This window comes from Homo sapiens, chromosome 2, assembly GCF_000001405.40.
Source record: "Homo sapiens chromosome 2, GRCh38.p14 Primary Assembly".
NCBI classification, from domain to species: domain Eukaryota; kingdom Metazoa; phylum Chordata; class Mammalia; order Primates; family Hominidae; genus Homo; species Homo sapiens.
In genome coordinates this window covers 57,714,901-57,737,027 of record NC_000002.12, presented here as the reverse complement: position 1 = coordinate 57,737,027, position 22,127 = coordinate 57,714,901, and the positions used below count along the sequence as shown (strand labels likewise).

General features: G+C 35.9%; 1 long non-coding RNA gene across 1 annotated transcript; it reads right to left on the bottom strand.

The window, feature by feature from the left end:
* Positions 1–10,692: 10,692 nt before the first annotated feature.
* On the bottom strand, positions 10,693–16,128 carry LOC105374697 (uncharacterized). The gene is made up of 3 exons (XR_940111.3): positions 16,052–16,128; positions 14,076–14,172; positions 10,693–11,333 (listed from the first exon to the last, which is right to left on the bottom strand). It is a non-coding gene; the product is annotated as an uncharacterized LOC105374697 (long non-coding RNA).
* Between the last annotated feature and the right edge of the window lie 5,999 nt (positions 16,129–22,127).

The window sequence follows — 22,127 nt, the reverse complement described above, 5'->3', positions numbered from 1 at the left end:
GTAAATTTACTAGGAATGCTGTGATAGTTAACATTGAGTGTCAACTTGATTGGATTGAAGGATATGAAGTATTGTTCCTGGGTGTGTCTGTGAAGGTGTTGCCAAAGGAAATTAACATTTGATTCAGTGAACTGGGAGATACAGGTCCATCCTCAATCTGGGTGGGCACCATCTAATCAGCTGCTAGGATAAAAGCAGGCAGAAGATCTTGGAAAGACTAGACTGACGTAGTCTCTGGCCTCCATCTTTCTCCCATGCTGGATGCTTCCTGCCCTTGAGCATCTGACTCCAAGTTCTTCAGCTTTGGGACTCTTGGACCTTTGACCACAGACTGAAGGTTGCACTGTCAGCTTCCCTACTTTTGAGGTTTTGGGACTCAAACTGGCTTCCTTGCTCCTCAGCTTGCAGACGGCCTATTGTGAGACCTTACCTTATGATCATGTGCATCAATACTCCTTAATAAATTCCTCTTTATATATACATCTAGCCTATTAGTTCTGTCCCTCTAGAGAACCCTGACTAATATAAATGCTTTATTTAAAGATTGCATATATATAGTATTATTTTGATCACATTACAGTCATCTTTGAGTTAGGGCAACAAACATGCACTATGAAATAAGATTCACTTCTTTTACAGAAAATGATGCCAATTTTAAAGAATAAATTTTAGCATGGGATATTGGGCAGTTCTAGATTCTTCTAGCATTTAATGAGGCTTAATGATGCTAGTAACTTCACTTGAAGTTTAAATGACTTATTTTTCCAAGTGATTTCAGAAACCCCTAGAAACTCTGCTAAATGAAATGAATCAATAGAGTTAAATGAGTTAGTTAATACATGTGAAACACTTAGAACAATGTTAAGCATAAAATTAACTTCTCCATAGCTATAGCTTTGTGCTGCATTAGTATTAGTGTTAAAATGGCTTTCATTAATAAATATAATAATGCTTTTTAAAGGCAGAGGGTTAAAAATGATGAAGGAAATACTATCCTTCTTCCACATCTTATATAATAGAAAATATTAATTGATCTATACCTTATTTGATAAAAAAGTTTCAAAAAGATAATGTTCAATACATTTCCCTCTGTTTCATTCTCCAAGTTTCAAAAATTAATATGCTTACTACACAGACATAATTATTTGACATGTGAAGTATAATTTTCCTTGTAGCATGTGCAATGGATATTTATCATGGTTTTTGCTTGTCCAACATGTGAAGCCTGGATAGGGTGAATGTCTCCTTTGCCTGCGTCTTGGCAGACAACACTTTTCACTAAATACAATGTTAGGTTAAGTGTCTCCCAGTTCTCAGTGAGTGAAGCTGTAGACATCTGAAGTACTATCATTGGATACTTCAGCCTGGGATTTTGAATCTGCGTGATGATACAAAGATGTTGGGCCTGTTGAGGGACTAATCATGGAGTTGAAGTAGAGTGAAAATGGGGCTATCCCAATGGCATGATAATGGTGGTGGTCTCTGCGCTTCCCACACATACTCTGTACGTTCCTGTGTACTTTGCTGGCTGTTTGTCCAGTAGGTCCATCAATTTTGTGTGCCTCCACATATCCTTCCAATAAATCCATTTTCTGTTTTAAGTTAGGCAAATCTGGCTTCTGTTACTTGTAATAAGAACTTTGATTAGCTCAATGTGAACCAAAAAATTGAGAAAAAGAAATATTAGAAATATATGAAACATGAGAAATGAGAACCACTTCTTGGGTAGACATTGTCATTTAGTGAAATTATAATTCATTTCATTATAATTCAGAGAAATGTTAGAAGTCATAACATTATGCATACTTTCCTGTATTTTTTCTTGTTACAATTTTAGCAAAAATGGAACCCACAGTTTGGAAGTCGCTTTTCATTAAATTGCTTGGCATATTGAAGTGGCCATTTTTCTTGGGTATTCAAGCAAACCCAAGGAATCTATGCTTATTTGTTTTATGAATACTAGTGAAAAAAGTGACAAATATTTCCTCTTGGTTATACTGGTAATATGGCTAATGTTCATAACATGGTTATCCGTTTTTCAATGAGAAAGAGAAATGAGCTTCGGGTCTGAATGTTAAACCTAATGACAGAGTTTTCTGGTCAAGGCAAGTGCTCCCTTTGTAATCACTTTTGCTGGCTTTCCATAAAATACTAGGGAGATTGCTATGGTACTGATATGGTTTGGCTGTGTCCCCGCCCAAATCTCATCTTGAATTGTAGTTCCCATAATTCCCACGTGTTGTGGGAGGGGACCAGTGGGAAGTAATTGAATCATGGGGACAGTTTCTCCTATACTGTTCTCAGGGTAGTGAATAAGTCTCATGAGGTCTGATGGTTTTGGAAGGCATTTCCCTTCTCGCTTGGCTCTCACTCTCTCGTTTTGCCTGCCCTTTAAGACACACCTTTGTTCTTCCCTCACCTTCCGCCATGTTTATGAGACCTCCCCAGCCCATGGAACTGTGAGTCCATTAAACCTCTTTTTCTTTATAAATTACCCAGTCTCGTGTATGTCTTTATCAGCAGTGAGAATGAACTATTACAGGAACTCAGTAATGTCTGAGAGACAGATTGAACCAAATACCCAAAGAAATCAGAGGATTGTTCATTTGCTCCTAAGAAGTATAAACAATGTTTGGAAGCATGTAGGTAATACTACTATACTAACAAATGTTTAGGGAAAATTTCTCATTTGATCCAAATTAGTCTATTTAGGACAATTTGTGTTATACTACCCTTCCAGACTGTACCTCTTGATGTGTAGGAAGATGTAAAGAAGTATGTGTGAAATATTACCTGTGAAGGAAGCAATGTGTTTCCATAGACCTCTATTTTCTCTGAGTAAGCAACCACTAGGGAGAGATAAGGGTCATGTGTCATATACACAGAGCCAAAGTACAGAAGATTTATGACTTAGTGAATATGTAGATATTGTAGTGTTCTTGACCAAGCTGGCAAACTGTCCTTGAGTACATCTGAGGTTTCATGTTAAAAACAAAACAACAAAACAAAATAAAACAAAACAAAACTTCAAAAAGAGAGACAGACATATACATGCTGTCTCTGAACACAGGGATAGTCTCTGAATTCACAAAAATAATGACGGCTCATCCTGTTCTCTTGGGAGAGTGGGGTGGGAATTTCCATATTTTGCTTTCGAGGCACTTTCAGAGCCATGTACTGCCATAATTCATATATCATTGGATTAAGAGGCATATGACTCTAGTATCAGTAAGAGCCTGTGTAGTAGATTTGCTGATTTAAGGAAAAGGAAAAGAAAGAACTTAGGGCCTCATTTGAGACAAGTCTTTGTACTTCAAAGAGCAGAATGACAGGACAGAGCATCTATTTGCTGCATCTTTTACCAAGGAGAGAAATAATATATCTCACACTGATTAACCAACTTGTGCTTGTTAAAATTTTAACTTTCGTTATGCCTTTACGCTGTTGTCAGGTTCTCTCTGATAAGGAATATTTTAAAGATGTTTTGGCATTTCTTAGAAAGATGATTGATCCTGAAGAGTAAGAGCTGATAGCCAGAAGAATATTTTGTTGAGGAATGGATACTGCAAAATGTCCTGGCAAGAGTTACTCATTTTCTTTACAAAAGCTGACCACACTTAGCCATTGGTACCTACTATGCAGCAGTTTTATTTCCCAGCACTGGCATTCTACTAGTTATGATGTCTGTAGTATAATACTTATATAGCAATATTTTCCCTCTCTTGCTTCTCATGATCTTTGGACAAAGCTCATATTCCAAAATGTTCTGTTGATTTTATCCTTTGGAGATTCTTGAACCTTGTAGCTCATGACATCCACTTAGGCCATTATATAGCTATGGGGTTCAAAGAGAATTTTCTGAAGTATGAATTGACTTCCAAAATATTCTGCACTATCCTTATATTGCTATTCTTGGAGACTGTCCATTTTTCAAAATATAAGAATTTTTGGCAGCATAGGTAACAAAGCTACATACCTTTGGAGTAATTCCCAGCTCTCCCTCGTCACCCTCACATCCAAGTTATTTGCTTTATCCTTTTGATTTTACCTTCTAATGCCTCAAGCATCCCACCAATGCTTTCCATTTGGACATTGTTTCCACTTATATTTCCACTACTGGTCTGGAGTACCACAATAGGCTCCTAATTGAGTTCTCCATTTTTTCTTACTGATTCTAAAGCATATTACTGCTAGATTAAGCTTCTTAAAACATAGATCTGAATTTATTGACTCATTGATTAAAACTTCATTTATTACTGTCCCAGATGTTTCAGGAGTATTCCTAACTCTTGCCTCATGCCCCTCCCCTTGAATTTAATTAAGATATTTGCTTTTCTCTGAATATTTCCGGTAATCTCCTGACTCCATGCCTGTATTCGTGTCTTTGCCTCAAAACTAGAGTGTTCTTTATCTTTATTGTTTCTCTTAAAAGTCCTGTCCAATTGCCAATTCCATGTAAATTGTAAGCTCTTTCATGAAGACATCTTGATGACCATACCTGAATGCCACTTGTTCCTTCTTGTTTGAATCCCCTTTGATTTGTTAGTAGCGATCCTATGCCATCTACTCTGTCATAGAGAAATTTGTGTAATTGTCACTCTGCTTTCTCTATTATGAGTTCTTCAAAGGCAGGAACTCTTTGTTCTTGTATTTTTCTCCTATATTTTCTAACCATGCATTTAATATTGTAGAAGCTTATTCATTATATAGAATTTTTGATAATCTAGGGTAAAAAAGAACATCCTTTTAAAGTCAGCTGACCTAATATTAACACAAAACTCTATGACTGCTTTATTTTATGAGAATAAGTTTTCCACGAAGTCCGTAAAGCAAAGGTATACAAAATGAAAAAATATTTTAAACAACAGAGACTACGTAGATTCAGTTTATTTAACCCTGCATATACCTACCTATATTTTAGATTCTATTTATTTATGATGCACAAAGAAGCACATGTCATTGTCCTTATAATAATTTTTATCATTTTGATCTCAGAGGCTTTGTTATGGAACTTTGTAAAGTGAGAAACATTTTCTCACGTATTACCCACATTTTCCTCCTGTCTTATGGAAGAAGAATCGTTCCTGTGTCTTTCCACAATTAATGCCACCATCTCTGTTTTCTTAAAAACTATTTTTTTCTGTCTTTTCTGAGATTTAGTACCATAAAGTCTTTCTTCTCTCATGTCTTTAAATTCTTTTCCTTACTGCTTCCTTGTAGTCTAAAAATGTGCTCAAGTCTTTACATACTTTAATCACAGTTTTCTTTAGCTACTATTAATATTTTCCTTTTTTTTTTCCAGCACCACCAAACTTTTCGAAAACAGAATCTATCCTGAAGGCCTCAATTTCTCCACTCCCCATTCGTTCAATGTAGTTGAGTTCTAAGTTATCCCTCCACTGACACTGCTTTTAGAAAAAAATCTCACTTTTTTTTTTTTTTAAGATCTAGGCACCTCTTTTCAGTTCCAACCCAAATACTTTGTGTTATTTTGAGAAAGTCAGCAACGTCCTTCTTGAAACTCTTTTCTGCAATACTACTTTTGTGTGATCCTTCTCTTTCCTTCTTTTTCTTTCCAACTAGTACTTACATAATACTGCCTAAATACATTGTGCTTGACATAATGAAGATAAAAAGATATATACTATCCTTGTGTTAAAACTTAGTCTCAATGGATAGACAACATATATATTATGCATAAAAAGTTATATAATGAAATTTAAGAGTTAAAATAATCCCCATTTCAAATGAATTTCATATTTGGGCTACTATATAAGCATTTTAACTGGTATTACTTTATTCAGAATCACTTAACTTTCATACTTCTTATAATTTTTTCAAAATTTAACTTTAAGTTCAAGATACAGGTACAGGTTTGTTATATAGGTAAACTTTTGTCATGTGGGTTCATTGTATAGATTATTTCATCACCCAGGTATTAAGCCTAGTATCCATTAGTTATTTCTTCCAGATCCTCTCTCTCCTCCCACCCTCCACTGTCCAATCAGCCTCATTGTGTGTTGTTCCCCTCTATGTGTCCATGTGTTCTCATCATTTAGCTGCCACTTATAAGAATATGTGGTATTTGGTTTTCTGTTCCCGCATTAGTTTGCTAAGGATAATGGTTTCCAGCTCCATTTGTCTTCCTGCAAAGGACATGATCTTGTTAGTTTTTATGGCTGCATAGTATTCCATAGTGTATATGTACCACATTTTCTTTATCCAGTCTACCACTGATGGACATTTAGATTGATTCCATGTCTTTGCTATTAAGAATAGTGTTGGAATGAATATATGTGTGCATATGTCTAATAGAATGATTTATCTTCCTTTGGGTATATACCCAGTAATGAGATTGCTGGGTTGAATGGTATTTCTGTTTTTTGGTCTTTGAGGAATCACCATGGTGTCATTCTTCGCAGAACTAGAAAAAAACTATTTTAAAATTCATATGGAACCAAAAGAGAGCCTGAATAGCTAACACACTCCTAAACAAAACAAAGCTGGAGGCATCACACTACCCAACTTCAAACTATACTACAGGGTTATAGTAACCAAAACAGCATAGCACTAGTACAAAGACAGACATACAGACCAATGGGACATAATAGAGAACCCAGAAATAAGGCTGCACACCTACAAGTATTTTTGACAAATCTGACAAAGACAAGCAATGGAAAAAGGATTCCCTACTTCATAAATGGTGCTTGAATAACTGGCTAACCATATGTAGAAGACTGAAACTGGACCCCTTCCTTACACCTTTACAAAACTTACTCAAGATGGATTAAAGACTTAAAACACAAAACTATAAAAACCCTGGAAGACAACCTAGGTAATACTATTCAGGACATAGGAACAGGCAAAGATTTCATGACAAAGACACCAAAAGCAATTGCAACAAAACAAAAATTGACAAATGGGATCTAATTAAACTTAAGAGCTTCTAAACAGCAAATGAAACTATCAATAAACAGACAACCTATAAAATAAGAGAAAAAAATTTTAAACTATGTATATGACAATGATCTAATATCTAGCATCTATAAGGAACTTAAACAAATTTACAAGTAAAAACCAAACAATTCTATTAAAAAGTGGGCAAACGACAGGAACAGATACTTTTAAAAAGAAGACATGCATGTGGACAGAAATCATATGAAGAAAAAAGGTCAGTATCACTGATCATTAGAGAAATGCAAATCAAAACCCCAATGAGATACCACCTCACACCAATCAGAATGGCTATTATTAAAAAGTAAAAACGTAACAGATGTTGGCAAGGTTGCAGAGGAAAAGGAACACCTACATACTGTTGTTGGGAGTATAAATTAATTCAACCACCATGGAAGTTGGTACTTTTTAATAAAATGAGTTAAATTTTTCTAAAATATTCACTGTGAATGTGGTGTTCATATATATATATATATAGAGAGAGAGAGAGAGAGAGAGAGAGAGAGAGAGTGAGAGAGAGAGAGAGAGAGACGGAGTCTTGCTCTGTCACCCAGGCTGGAGTGCTGTGGCGTGACCTCAGCTCACTGCAACCTCTGCCTCCTGGGTTCAAGCAATTCTTCTGTCTCAGCCTCCTGAGTAGCTGGGATTACAGGTGCGCACCACCACACTTGGCTAATTTTTGTATTTTTAGTAGAGATGGGGTTTCTCCATGTTGGCCAGGCTGGTCTCAAACTCCTGACCTCAGGTGATCTGCCCACTTCGGCCTCCCAAAGTACTGGGATTACAGGCATGAGCCGCCGTGCCTGGCCTCATGTAAATGTTTTCAACATTACTCCAGCTACTCCATAAAATCAACTCTTTGGCAATATCAGAGCTCTCCATATTTGGGTGACATGTCCAGCCAACTTGGACTGCTCATCACTCCCAAATGCCCATGAAACATTTTCCCCCTTGTTTTTTGATCATATTATCATTATTACAGTGGAAGGCAGTCTCTAAGAAGGGCCCAGATGATCCCTACCTCCTGATATTCACATCTATGTGTAATACATAGAATATGGCAGAAATGATGTAATGTCAGTTCTCAGGTCTTTTCGCCTTGAGTGTTCTCTCTCTCTCCCTCACCCAGAGGAAGCCAGCTGCTTTGTCATAAGGCATCCCTGTAGAAAGGCCCACATGACAAGGGACTGAGGCTAGCCAACATGTGAGTTATCCTAGAAGTGGAAGTTTTCAGATGAGACTGTAGCCCCAACCAGCAGCTTGATTGCAATCCCATGAGAGACCTTGAGTCAGATTCCTAATCTACAGAAATTATGACATAATAAATAAAATGTTTGTTGCTTTAAGCTACTAAATTGTTGGATAATGTGTTACACAACAAGAAGTAACTAATGTATCTGCTTAAAATAGCCTTACATTTTTTTTTCTTGAGACAGAGTCTCACTGTGTCATCCAGGCTGGAGTGCAGTGGCACAATATTGGATCACTGCAACCTCCGCCTCCTGGGTTCAAATGATTCTCCTGCCTCAGCCTCCTGAGTAGCTGGCACTACAGGCGTGTGCCAGCACGCCCGGCTAATTTTTTGTATTTTTAGTAGAGATGGGGTTTCACTGTGTTAGCCAGGATGGTCTCGATCTCCTGATCTCATGGTCTGCCCACTTCGGCCTCCCAAAGTGCTGGGATTACAGGCTGATGCCTCTGTGCCCAGCCCGCCTTACGATCTTGTTTAACCATCAGTAATATACCAGTTCTAACACTAACTACTTTCTACCTACTTACTGCTTGCTGAAAATGTTTCCTTCTTCGTCTATATTCCTATAATATTTAGTTGGTGCCCTTCATTGTCATGTGTCACCTGCTTCCTCGTTTATGTCCCCAAGATGATAAATATCTTTAAATAATAGCAACTGGTTCATATATTCCCGTAGCACCTAGAAAACTCCTGATATTCACACCCATGTGACTTGAATGTGTGTGAGTTTAATGTCTATTTGTTGAGTAAGTATAACAAAGCTATGCTTGGTTAATCATCAAAATAAATCTAAAGAACAATAATTATCATAGGACGAGAAATAATTACCTTAATGTTTATGGTAAAATTGTTTTATCAAAAAATGATACGCAGAGAGGAGTGGCAAGGTCATATGGAGTGAATATGACTGAAATTGCAGAGAAACTGAAAAGAACAGAGGATGTTGTGGGACCAGTTAACAACTGGTTGGTAGGCACGAAGAATTTGAATGAATGCATAGCTGAACAGAAGCCCAAGCCAGGTTCTGCTGGGTGTTTTAGTTTTAGATACAATGGTTGGTACTTCTAGGGTCTCCAGGAGGCCTGTACACATGGCAAAATGCTGCTGAACTGCATTTAACATAGCACAGAGTACTTGTTTACTAAATATTTTATTCAACTTGAAAATTTAAGGTGCGAGAGCGATATTCAGGGTATTAGCTGGTAAGTGCTGAACTTTATAAGCAACTTGAAGGCCCTAATGTCATTGAACAAGCATATAGCAAAGTTTAAGTCGTTTAGTTAGAGTATTCTGGTGGTGATGTACAAAATTAGATACAGGGACGCTGTTAAGTGAGAATAATTAGGTAGCAACTAGTTAAGTCATGAACTTATAAGAGACTTTTATGTATTTATATTGGGCATTCTATTTCCACAATCTGAATAACTCTCTTAGTTAATAGACTCTCTTGAAACACACCATTAAAATATACTATTAAAACTTAGTTGATCCTTGTAACTACAACTAAATTCTTTGTATGGGCTTAAGGGAACAGCTGTATTATTTCTATCCTTTTACTTTTAGAAAGGAAATAATAAGTCAGTATATGCTTTTATTGCTGTTTATTTAGAAGTTGTACATACAATGGGAAGTATGTGGAACCAGCTAACACCTGACCCATACTTATGCCATATAATAAACTTTTCAAAAATTCCAAGCACCTTCAAGACTTTTTTTTTTTTTTTTTTTTTTTTTGAGACAGAGTCTCGCTGTGTCGCCCAGGCTGGAGTGCAGTGGCGCAATCTCGGCTCACTGCAAGCTCCGCCTCCCGGGTTCACGCCATTCTCCCGCCTCAGCCTCCTGAGTAGCTGGGATTACAGGCGCCCGACACCCGCACCCGGCTAATTTTTTGTATTTTTAGTAGAGACAGGTTTTCACTGAAGACTTCTTGAAAGCTTACAGGTCATCAGAATGTTATAGAGTGGAGGGATTTTTTAAAAATAACATTTTTGTGGAGATTATACTGGGTTACAAAAGAAGGACTATTCCAGATGGCAATAGTCTGTGACTTCAAAACATTTACTATCTTGTAGGAAAGGATTGGGTATGACCAATTTGATTTATCTACTTTCTGGTCTCAATAATGCATAACATAGGAGATAAAATTAAATTAAATCTATATCAATTCCGGTATTTCACCTATGCTTAAAAAATGAGGACAATGAAAAAGATAAGTCTACAGCTACGAGATTAGTGTTAGGAGTGGATAAAGGAAGACTAGAAAGAAGAAATGAAAGTGAGAAAGAAGTGACTAAAGCGTGGGAGGCAAAAAGAGCAAACACAATGTTGAAGGGTAAGAGTGATTGAGGTCAATGTGGAGTCAAGGGCAATAATCCAAAACGAGCAGGAAATATAACCAGTGAAAAAAATTAGCCAGATGGGAGGAAGAATCAATTGATCTGTGATAAAAGAAGGAAATGAAAGAAGAGAGTGAAAGAAGAAAAGAATACACTTAGGGCTTAAACAGTACTTTTCATTTTCAGAAAGCTTTATAAATATTAACTAATTAACCCTCATTTCAGCCCTGGGCATAAGCAATATTATCATAGTTATTATTATTAATAACTGAATGTAAAAGGGGTCAGAAAGGGTTAGACACATAAAGCTTTAAATCTTGTACATGTATTTTATTTCTCTGACATGAAAGCAGTAGCTGGAAGGAAAGTTTTGTTTCAAATTCTTGTAAATCCATTATTACTGGATGAGAACCGCATTTGTTTTGCTTCTCCCACCTTAATAACCTTAGGCCATAGGATCTGAAGACGTAGTCTGCATCTGACTATCAAGAATTCTTCACCTGCAAATCATCCTTGATGGTAGGACTAAACAGAGAGCGTTAAATTCAGTGTCAGGACTTAAGATTGACAGGATTCGTTGTATTATTTCTAAGAACAACGTGTAACTTCTCCTGATTACTATTCAATTGCAACACAGCAGTAGAAACCAGTTGCACAGTTTATGGTAGCAAATAACACGCATTGTGTTCATTTTGGAGCCTTTCTCTTTTCTTTGATTCCACTGAGGCAGGATGGGAACTCTCCATTCAGTAACAGTTTAGTTCCAGCTTGCTGAACACACTGTTGCTTTCCTGGAGGGAAAAGTATTAGAAAATGGATTGAATACATCTTTAAATGTACATAGTGGAATTCATTTCTTATGCCAGTTAGAACAAGCAAACAGCCACATGCCTGTAATAATGTAAATTTTGCTTTCATTATGACCCTACATCCACAAGCTAATTACACTGCAGATACAAAGGCTGTCGACTTTCCTTCTCTGGAGTGATAAAGGAGCCTGCTGGGTAAAATAGCCACTACTCATGTTATTTCTGGACATATCCAAGCTACTGCAAGATGTTCCTTGCTTTAAAAGTGAATTTTAGCATGAATTCATGCAGTATTTTAAAAAAACCGTGACAGTTATTGTAGGGGGTGCAAATGAAGTATATGTTGGAGTTGAAGGAAGATTGTTTCACTCTCCTTATTCCAGTTTGCCTTTTTTTTTTTCTTTTTAGCAAAACAAATTTTATACAGGTTGATTTTCTTTCCCTTTGGTGCACACTACATGCCACTACGTTTCTTAAATAGGATTCCCTAATCCTTACGAGGGGTTTTTCAAAAACAATCATAATGTAAAATTCACATACATAAAATAATTATGTAATTTATGATGAGCAAGTGGCCGTCTCTTCTCTTTTATGTGAAACAAATCAGACAAATATTTACTGAATTTGAAAAGTAAAGATAAACTATTAATTGATCATTTTGTTTAGGTAAAAATATCTTTGGCTCCTTTCACATATTATTGGGATCTTACAATTCTTTAAGACATGATACAATAATTCTTAAATTTCAAAATAAAAAAACCTTTCAATTCCACTTTCATTATTCTTTTACTTTAAAATAATAAAATGAATATGTCAAGGCTAACAAAATAAAACTTTAATAACATTTTTTTCCAAATTAACACAACTATTCCAGATCTAGTCATTACTTGACATATATACTGAAGCCTGCAAATTTCACCAAGAAATGTGTGTGCTGTAAAGTGACAAAATAATTTGGATTGAAGGACTATAGTTTGCAAATAACTTTTCACAATTTCTTGATATTACTGATACCATAACAAAATCACTGTGATTTTAAAAAGTATTGTTAGTATGCAATAAAATTTCCTAAAATAATTTATTTTGAACAAAAAACGATTTTGGAGGTCCTATTCTATACCTGTTAATTTTTTTAAAACTATAGGGATATATAAGAAGCAAACTTTTGTGAGTCTGTGCCCACGAATAATATGCAGTCTTCGTAAACTGTAAACTAAAATATATGAAATGACTAGAAAACTGCTTGGAATGCCTAGCTACATGACATTACATTGCAGAGCTTGAGAGAAGAGGGGGATCAAGGTGGATTAGTGACATCTCAAAATACATCATGGAGCTACATCTAAAATTATAATCATATGATACTGTAATTAATTGTGGGAATAGTGCCTTTTAGAATAGCACACACACTTAGAACCAGCAGACGAAACTATTTCCAGTGTCATAAACAGTATACTTTCTCTACAAATATTTCTAATTAGGAGAGTAGGACATTTCCTTTAGATTTCTTTTAGTCTACAGGTAAGCAATTTATGTCTTCTGAAATGGACTGATTTTATTTTGCTCAGGGAACTGCTACGGGAGCAATCTCTTAGGTTTTACAAATCACAGAACTTTACATAAAACACTTTAGTCTTTTCTTTTAAACTCATATTTAATGAGATGTGAATTAAAAAGTCTATTTTTGATTAAATCACTACATTTGAGACTCTCTCTCCCCACCAAAAAGGGAAGGGCAGGGTAAGGGATGTTTGTGCCATAATCAATTACGGAGTTCATTATTTTAAAAATATATCTAAAATATTTCATAAAAATTTAAAGAATAATTTTAATATTTATATTTGAATTAGCTTGAAATATATATAATATATATATGCACATTCAAAAGAAGGGACAGATATATCATTAATGATATTTCTCAAATTATATGATTATATGGATGAAATAAAATTAAGGAAGATCATTAATGACCTCTACTTAAAAAAAAAAAAGTAAATGACTGAAAAGTATGCATTTGTTTTCATTTAGGAGGGTACAAGTATATCATGATCCATCATGGAATAGCTAGATGATACATTCTCTCTGTCATTTTTCACAATTCATGAATTGAGCATTAAAGACAAAATATATGGTATATATAATATGGAACAAATAATTTTGCCATATTAGGAGGTGAATTTAGGGGGTTTCTTTAGTTTAGAGTAGCCCTCTCCCCAAAAAGAGAAACTACCACCAAGAAATTTCTAGAATTCAGTCTTCTAAACTGGTATGGTGGATGGAAATATTTTTGTTTCTGGAAAAAATGCATAAGGTGCTATTTCTCCTGGCAAAAATATGAAAACATGAACTGCACGATTTTTTCCCAGCAAGCGACTGATCTCCACATACATCTATCATTATTCAGCTTCAAACTAAAAAGTCTTATTCTGAATACCAATTCCTATAAACTATGTAGCTCTCAATTACGGAATCTGAAACTGCTGGTTCCATGATGATAAAGGAACATGCTGTTTGAAAGACCACAATTTGACTGCAAGTAATCAATATACTATTTGGAAAGAAACCTAGATGTGCAGTTTTATTTAGAAATGCTGAGAGCACTGCACTGAAGCCTTCTCCACAAGTCTGGCAATGTCAGGTGGCTCTTTGTCAGTCTTCTTTATGCCTGTTCATTTTCAGAGGCAGCAGAACATTTTCTCGTTCACTGCCATTAATAGAAGATACCTCTTCTGTAATTTTCAGGGAAGAGGACAATCATTTGTAGCTAAATATATTTTCACTTTTCTTTTATTTTTCGTGAAGCTTCTTTACATTGTATGCCCTGAAATGGAGAGAGTAAAATGAAGAATTTGAACTTCTAGGCCAGAAACATGCAAATGCTTTGGATGAAACTAACATTTGTCAATTTGAGTTTTACAAAATTGGTGTAGCATTTAATTCATTCTTTTAATCAAAGAGAAAATGTCATGTTTACTGAGCACCCAGGTTTGTGGTTGAAACATGATTATGAAATGTGAATCCTTTTAATAGCCCTAGATTGTCCTTCTCTTTATTTTTATATCTGGGAATATGGAAGATCAAAGAGGTTAAGTACTTCAGGTCACACAGGTTAAAACAACCACCAGAGACAGAATTTGAACCTGATTCTCTATCTTCATAAAGCCCATAAAAGGGCCTAGTAACTACTACCAAGGCACCTAAGGTACAGTGCCTAGAATGACCTAAGAATCTATTGTATATTCTATATATGCCCCATTTTCTGAAGCTTGTTAAATTGCCTGAAGGATATTACAATGAGTTTCCTTCATTAGAAATTTCACCAGAATTTTGCCAAAACCACAAAGGCAAGGTGACTTCATGATATATTAGTTAATATAGATTCATATTTGAATGGTTATCTTTTTTTTTTTTTAGATGGAGTTTCACTCTTGTCATCCAGGCTGGAGTACAATGGGTCAATCTTGGCTCACTGCAACTTCTGCCTCCCAGGTTCAAGCGGTTCTCCTGCCTCAGCCTCCCAAGTAGCTGGGACTACAGGCGTCTGCCACCACTCCTGGCTAATTTTTTGTATTTTTAGTAGAGACAGGGTTTCACCATGTTGGCCAGGCTGGTCTCGAACACCTGACCTCAGTTGATCCACCTGCCTCGGCCTCCCAAAGTGCTGGGATTACAGGCGTGAGCCACCGCACCCAGCGAGTGGTTATTTGCTTGTAATGCTTGGCTGATCTGGAAAGAATGCATATTGTGTTGGCTGAAGGGGATAAGATGACAAAAATGGGATAGGGAAAGGGAGCAGCCAGGGAGAATAGAAAAAAGGAAAAGAAGTCTTCCTTGGATGACCTTACAGAGAATTACCCGAACTCCTAAGCCATACGAATGGAGTGAAGGGAATGTTGTATTAAAGAAAAAAAGAAAAAGTTTTATCTGCTTTTCCCTTAATTAAATTAGGGCCATTTGAATAACTACCTGAATAATGGCATCAGGAAGAAAAGAGCAGAAGGCATGAAAGTTTTTTCTGTTTGTTATATTTAGAGAATGTTTTGCAATTCTTTCAGTGTCACGTTAGAAGGCAGCATCATTTGCACAATATGAATTAGCCTCAGAAATTTCTAGGCACATTCACATTTAAAGTAAGATGACTTTATTTTGGTCAGGCTGGTAGAGTCACTGCTTTGTTTTGTGTTTCCTAAACTTTTCCTGACAGCGTGCTAGGTAAGAGTCTTCCCATCCTATTCCCTCTGCTTGTGGGACTTTTATTAAGATGGTGGGACAGCTCAGCCAGGTGCCAGTTTGACGCTGTGTGGCTGTAACTTAATATTCCTCAGTAACTCTGCTTTGGAGTTAGGGGCTATGGGAGGTATTCGTTAATCCTTCACAATTTCTGCCACAGACATTTTTTAACTCTCTTTAGAATGTAAGAGGTATGAGAGGAACTGGTCAGGCCTAAGGCAGCCTGCAGTGTGGTGGGACTCCACCCTTTCCCTTTGCCACGGCTCCATTTACTCCTTTGGAATGTGCCGATAATTCCCACGGAATAGTAATAGGTTTTCAGTGGAATATTTTGTGGAAACGGAACTGTTTTGGTCTGGGGTTCATGTCTTGACGAGGCCAGGAAGACACAGCGGACTGAGGGGCTGAGATGGTCTGTCTCTCGCGGAGTTGGAGTACCCTCTGCTGTTCAAGAGAAGAAGTGCACTTACAGATAGCTCTAGCCAGTGCTTTCTCCAGGTAAAGAAAAACCTCCAAAATGCTTCTTAGAAAACAAGATAGATGCCCTCAGAAGATTGCTGAGCTTCCGGCTTCATGCAATTGTCGGGGTTTTGACTCTTAAGGAAATCCCATTGAGACTGAGTATGCGATGAGACCAGAGCCTATGCGGAGGGTAGTTTTTCTTTAGTCATAAAGTGTGGTATGAGCAATGGTTCTAGAATGATAGGTATTTGGGTTATTTTTCATGTGTTCGAATGCCACCATAAAATATTCTTTTTTTGTGTGTAATCAATCTTTTTATATCTGAGAAACCTGGATATTGTAATTCTAGTTTTGGAGGTTTCTGAATATCTTCTTTTGAAGTGTTTTTACATGTAAAGTCAGCATTGAAAATTGTTCTCGTGGCAAGTAGTTTCTTTCCTTTCTTTCTTTCTTTCTTTCTTTCTTTCTTTCTTTCTTTCTTTCTTTCTTTCTTTCTTTCTTTCCTTCCTTCCTTCCTTCCTTCCTTCTTCCTTCCTTCCTTCCTTCCTTCCTTCCCATTTTTTTGCTTTAGTTTCTAATGTATTTTGTTATTCTCTGCTGTGAGATAGCTTATTTCTATATAGTCCTGTAATTTATAAGCACTTTCACATAATCTCATCATAGCAGCTCTGCGATGCAAACTACATAGTTCCCACTTTATAGACAGAGAATCAAGGCCAAGACCGTGTCCAGAAATGCAGGTGGCCTCAGAAGTGAGCACTGTGTCAGATTTTCTAAGACAGGAGTAATAGTGGTTAATTCTTTAGTGACTACAATTTGTCAGCATTATACTAAACATTTTTAAGCATTACACATTTATTCTTCATGTCAAGTCACAGGTAGGTATTATTCTAACTGTCACTTCATAGATATGCAAATAATAATCTTTAAAGGTTAGTAATAGTCAAATAGCCGGTAAGTGAAAAAACTGGGTTTTAAATGTGGTGCATCTGACTCTGGAGGCTCCAATGTGTGGCCAACTTTTGACATATGGAGAAAAAGACATAAACCTTGACCTCAAGCACTTTAGTATTTTTAAATTGTGGTAAAATATACATAACTTAAAATTTACAATTTTAGCAATTTTTAAGTGTAAAGTTTAGAGGCATTACACACATTGACATTGTTGTGCAAGAATCACCAACATCCATGTCCAAAAATCTTTCATCTTTCCAAGCTGAAACTCTGTACCCATTAAAAAATAACACCCATTCTCCTCTCCCTCCAGCCCTGGCAACTACCGTTGTATTGTCTGTTTCTATGAATTTGACTACTTTAGGTACCTTATATAAGTGGAACCATACAATATTTGTCTTTTTGTGTCTGGATTATTTCATTTAGCATAATGTCTTCAAGGCTCATCCTTATAGCATGTGTCAGAATGTCATTCTTTTTAAGGGTGTATAATACTCCATTGTATCTATATAACACATTTATTTATTCACTGATCCATGGATGTTGGGATGTTTCCAGATTTTCAGTATGATGAATAGTGTTGCTGTGAACACTGATGCACAAATATCTGTTTGCTTCCCTGATTTTAGTTCTTTTGCGTACATACCCAGAAATGAAATAGCTGGATCATATGGTAATTCCATGCTTAGTTTTTTAAACATAGAACTGCCATACTGTTTTCTGTGGTAGTTACAGCATTTCATACTCCCACAAGCAATGCTTAAGGGCAGTAATTTCTCCACATCCTTGCCACTTATTATTTTCTAATTTTTTAAAAAAATAGTCATCTTAATGAATGTGAAGGGATAGCTTACTGTGCTTTTGATGTACATTTCCCTAATGGTTAGTGATATTAAACATCTTTTTATGTTCTTAGTGGCCAACTATATATCTTCTTGTGAGAAAAGTCTATTCAAGTCCTTTAACTGTTTTTAAATTGGGTTGTTGTTGAGTTCTATGAGTTGTTCATATATTCTGGATATTGAACCCTTATTAGAATATGATTTGCAAATATTTTATTCCATATGTTGCCTTTTATACTCTGTTGATAGTAGCTATAGAAAGATAGATGTTGTTAGATGTGCAGAATTTTTAGATTTTGATGAAGTGCAATTTATCTCTGTTTGCTTTTGCTGCCTTTTGGTATCATATCCAAGATCTTTGCCAAATCCAGTGTCATGAAGTTTTTATCTTATGTTTTCTTTTAACAGTTTTATAGTTTTAACTGTTACATCTCTTTACATGTCTTTAATCCATTTTGAATTAATTTTGTATATGGAGTAAGGTACGGGTCCAACCTCATTCTTTTGCATGTGAATATCCAGTTTTCTTAACATCATTTGTCAAAAACAACTATACTTTTCTGATTGAATATCTAGCATTCTTGTCAAAGTCATTTGGTTATATATGCAAGAGTTTATTTCTGGGCTTTCTATACTATTCCATTGATCTATATGTCTGTCTTTTCCTATTACACAGAAATTTTGCTCTTATATAGTGCCAGTTTTTACCAAAATTTGTTCTGATTAGAGTTTTTTCTTGAAGCTCAAACATTCTGTCAGTAATGTAATTAATGAAAAAGAAAAATCAATCTAGTTTTTCCTTGTATTTATGTGTTATGCATATAGGTGATAAACCGAATAACTTAAAGTTTTAATTTACAAATACATAAATTGGTTTGATGTGATATGGAAACAACTGTATTTCTGAAAGTTGTTTTAACCTGTGTATAGAAGGCTAAAATTTTCATCTATTCATTGCATTCATTAGGTCTAACAGCTGAATTCCTCCTAGTCAAGTGGATTTGGGTAATGTAGTTTGTCCTATTTGTTTACCTACTGCTGTAGCTTGGATGTTTGATCCCTCCAAACCTCATGTTGAAATTTGATCCCGTTTTGGAGGCTGGACCTAATGTAAGGTGTTTGGGTGATGGTGGTGGAACCCTCCAGCATAGATTAATGCCTTCCCTCGGGGGTGAGTGACTTCTCACTCTATTAGTTCCTGTGAGAGCTGGTTAAAAAGAACCTGGCACTTCCCCTGCCACTTTCTCTCTTGCTCTGTGGTTTCTGTAGGCACTAGTTTCTTCTTCCAATATAGTGGAAGTAGACTTAGACCCTCACCAGAAGCTGAGCAGACGCTGGCACCATACTTTTTATACAGTCTACAGAACCATAAGCCAATAAACCTCTTTTATCAGTTGACCAGCCTCAGTTATGCCTTTAGAATGACACCAAGTGGACTAAGACACCTATTCATCTAGGTAATAGCCATGGGACAGGTTTACAAAAATAAATTTTTAATACTTAGAAAAATACTTGAAAAGAATAATACCAAAAGTAGACCAATTTTACTTATGACTATAGATGCACAAATATTAAACATAGTATTATCAAATTCTGATTTTTAAAATGAAAACTATACCAAATAAGGTTTAATCTAGAAATTTAAGATTGCAATCTATAACCCTTTTTCATCACACTACATGATCATAAGAAAAAGACTGTGAAAACTTTCTGATAGATGATTTAAAGGCATTTATAAATGTAACATATAGTCATGATTCAAAAATTAAAAAAAAAATAAAAAACAACTTTCAATGCGCTAGAGATGGGGACCCACATTCCAAAAAAGAATATGTGTTTAAAAGCAACCGCCAATGTCTACTGAGTAGAAAAGGCAGAAGGGTATCTCTCATTACTGTCATTATGCATCACAAAGAGAAAATTCTAATCAATACATAATATCAAAATTAATACTAAGTATATTTAAATAAAAGTAAATAACCATAGCATCTGTAAGTAATAATTTTGTTGACTTGGAAACTGAAAGATAATCAACTTACAAACTATTCAAAAATAATATTGAATTAAGGAACATGGCTAGTCATGAATTTAATGTAAAGAATATAAACATATTCTGTAAATACTGAATACTTACTAGGAATGGATAAACATTTTGGTCACAATAGTAATTTCTATTTTCATCCCTTTCTCACTGATTCTTTCACAAACATTAATTTCTTTTTGTATTTACTATTCTATTCTATCATATGACTATATATTTTGGACCAGAACGACACTGCCTTAATTATAACTTTATCATACGTCTTGATATTTGGCAGGTAAAAGTCCCTATTCCCGCATTCACACCACTAAACTAAAGATTTTTTCTGGTATTTTAAGCAAGAGTATTTGGGTTGTTCTTTAAACTGAATTTTAGAGTCACATAGTTCCATTAAAAAAATCCCAATAGGGGGCCGGGGGCAATGGCTCACATCTGTAATCCCAGCATTTTGGGAGGCTAAGGCATGTGGATCATGAGGTCAGGCGTTCAAGACCATCCTGGCTAACACGGCGAAACCCCGTCTCTACTAAAAATACAAAAAATTAGCCGGGCCTGGTGGCAGGTGCCTGTAATCCCAGCTACTTGGGAGGCTGAGGCAGGAGAATCGCTTGAAGCTGGGAGGCGGAGGTTGCAGTGAGCCGAGATCATGCCGCTGCACTCCAGCCTGGGCGACAGTGCGAGACTCTGTCTCAAGAAAACAACAACAAAAATAAATAAAAAGAAAAAACCTATTGGGATTTTTGGTCATAATTCTATACTCACAGCATTTTTGCAGTAGAAGCACTGTAGGCTCAGCTAGTCCAATTTCTCTCATTGTAGACATAAAGAAAAATGCCCTCAGACTCCAGATACTGAATCCTTCAGTGGCGCATAACAGAGTTTACTTCTATGCACATGTTATGTCTTTGCAAGAGACAGATGTGAAAATGGAACTTTTTCTCTAGAAACAGGATAGAAACAGTTGTGATATTCAAGAAGGTTGGATTCAAGAAAGGCAGTCCCCATTTAATGTTCTAAAGAAAGCCCCTTCTGTGGTTTCTAACACTATTCAAATCAGCTGAAGCTTTACATTGTATTTGAATAAAAATGCATGATAATTGAAGGGGTGGGGAAACTGAAATAATGAGTGTGTACAGTAGATCCAGGGTTAGAGGGATTTCCATGAGAAGACTACTGTATTTTTTGGCCCATTCTGAGGTCCTCATAGACTTTTCTTTAGAAGACAAAGCAAGTATGACATTAAAAAAAATCATTTTACACCTGTCACTTTTGGTCCCAAGAAGATCGTTAACAGCATGACAGGGATATTGTAGTACAATAGTCAAGTAACAGTAGTAGTGACAACCGCATTAACTATGATAATATCTTAATTTTACATCATACTTTTCTTACAAAAAGCACTCCTTGGAACTCTCATTTTTAATTACATTTTCTCTCAGATCGTTCTTCTGTGGTGGTCAGAGGCAAATATTGCCTTCTTTTTACAGATGGTAAAACATGAGTTAGTGAGAAATGAAAAAATCTCCACAGGTCTCAGAGGCCACCTGGAGTGGCTTCCATGACTGCTTTTTTTCAGGCAACGTCATCCTTCTAAAATGATTGTAACTACTGGTCCTGTCCTTCCAGCCTCCTTATAATTCAACAAAAACTTGAAGAATGAAGTCCAATTTATTCCCTTATTGGAATATGTGCTAATGAAGGAATGAATACTTTTGCTGGAAAAATGAAGTGTTTGCAAACGTTTTTCTTGCATCTGCTTTTAGAACAATGTTAGGGCCGTGGAGCAGCAAAACTCCACGTGCACCATTTTCATTTTGGTGTACGTAAATACTGCTCTCTGGAGCAAAACTCCTATACGCAAACCTCATCATTTAATTGTTTGGGGCAGGACCCTGGTCATTTTTAAATATTAACACATAATTTTATTCTACTACCAGAGTTGGAAATCACTGTCTTTGTACACTGTGTTGTTTGATAGTGATTTTATTCTAGTTTCGAAGTACTTAGATGATGTAAAAAATAACATAAATTTTATATTGTCTATTATTTTCTTCACTGACATAAGGAAGCATTAGGTCTGTTTAATCTGTTATTTTTGAGATGTAAAATCTAGTTCTAAATATAAAATATAATGTCTTTCATGGAGCACTTTTCCAACTTCATGACTTTTGTTTCCTACACCCACGTTTTGTATATTTTGTTTGCTACACCCGAAGCACAGTCAGAAACAAACATTTTACCTAGAGC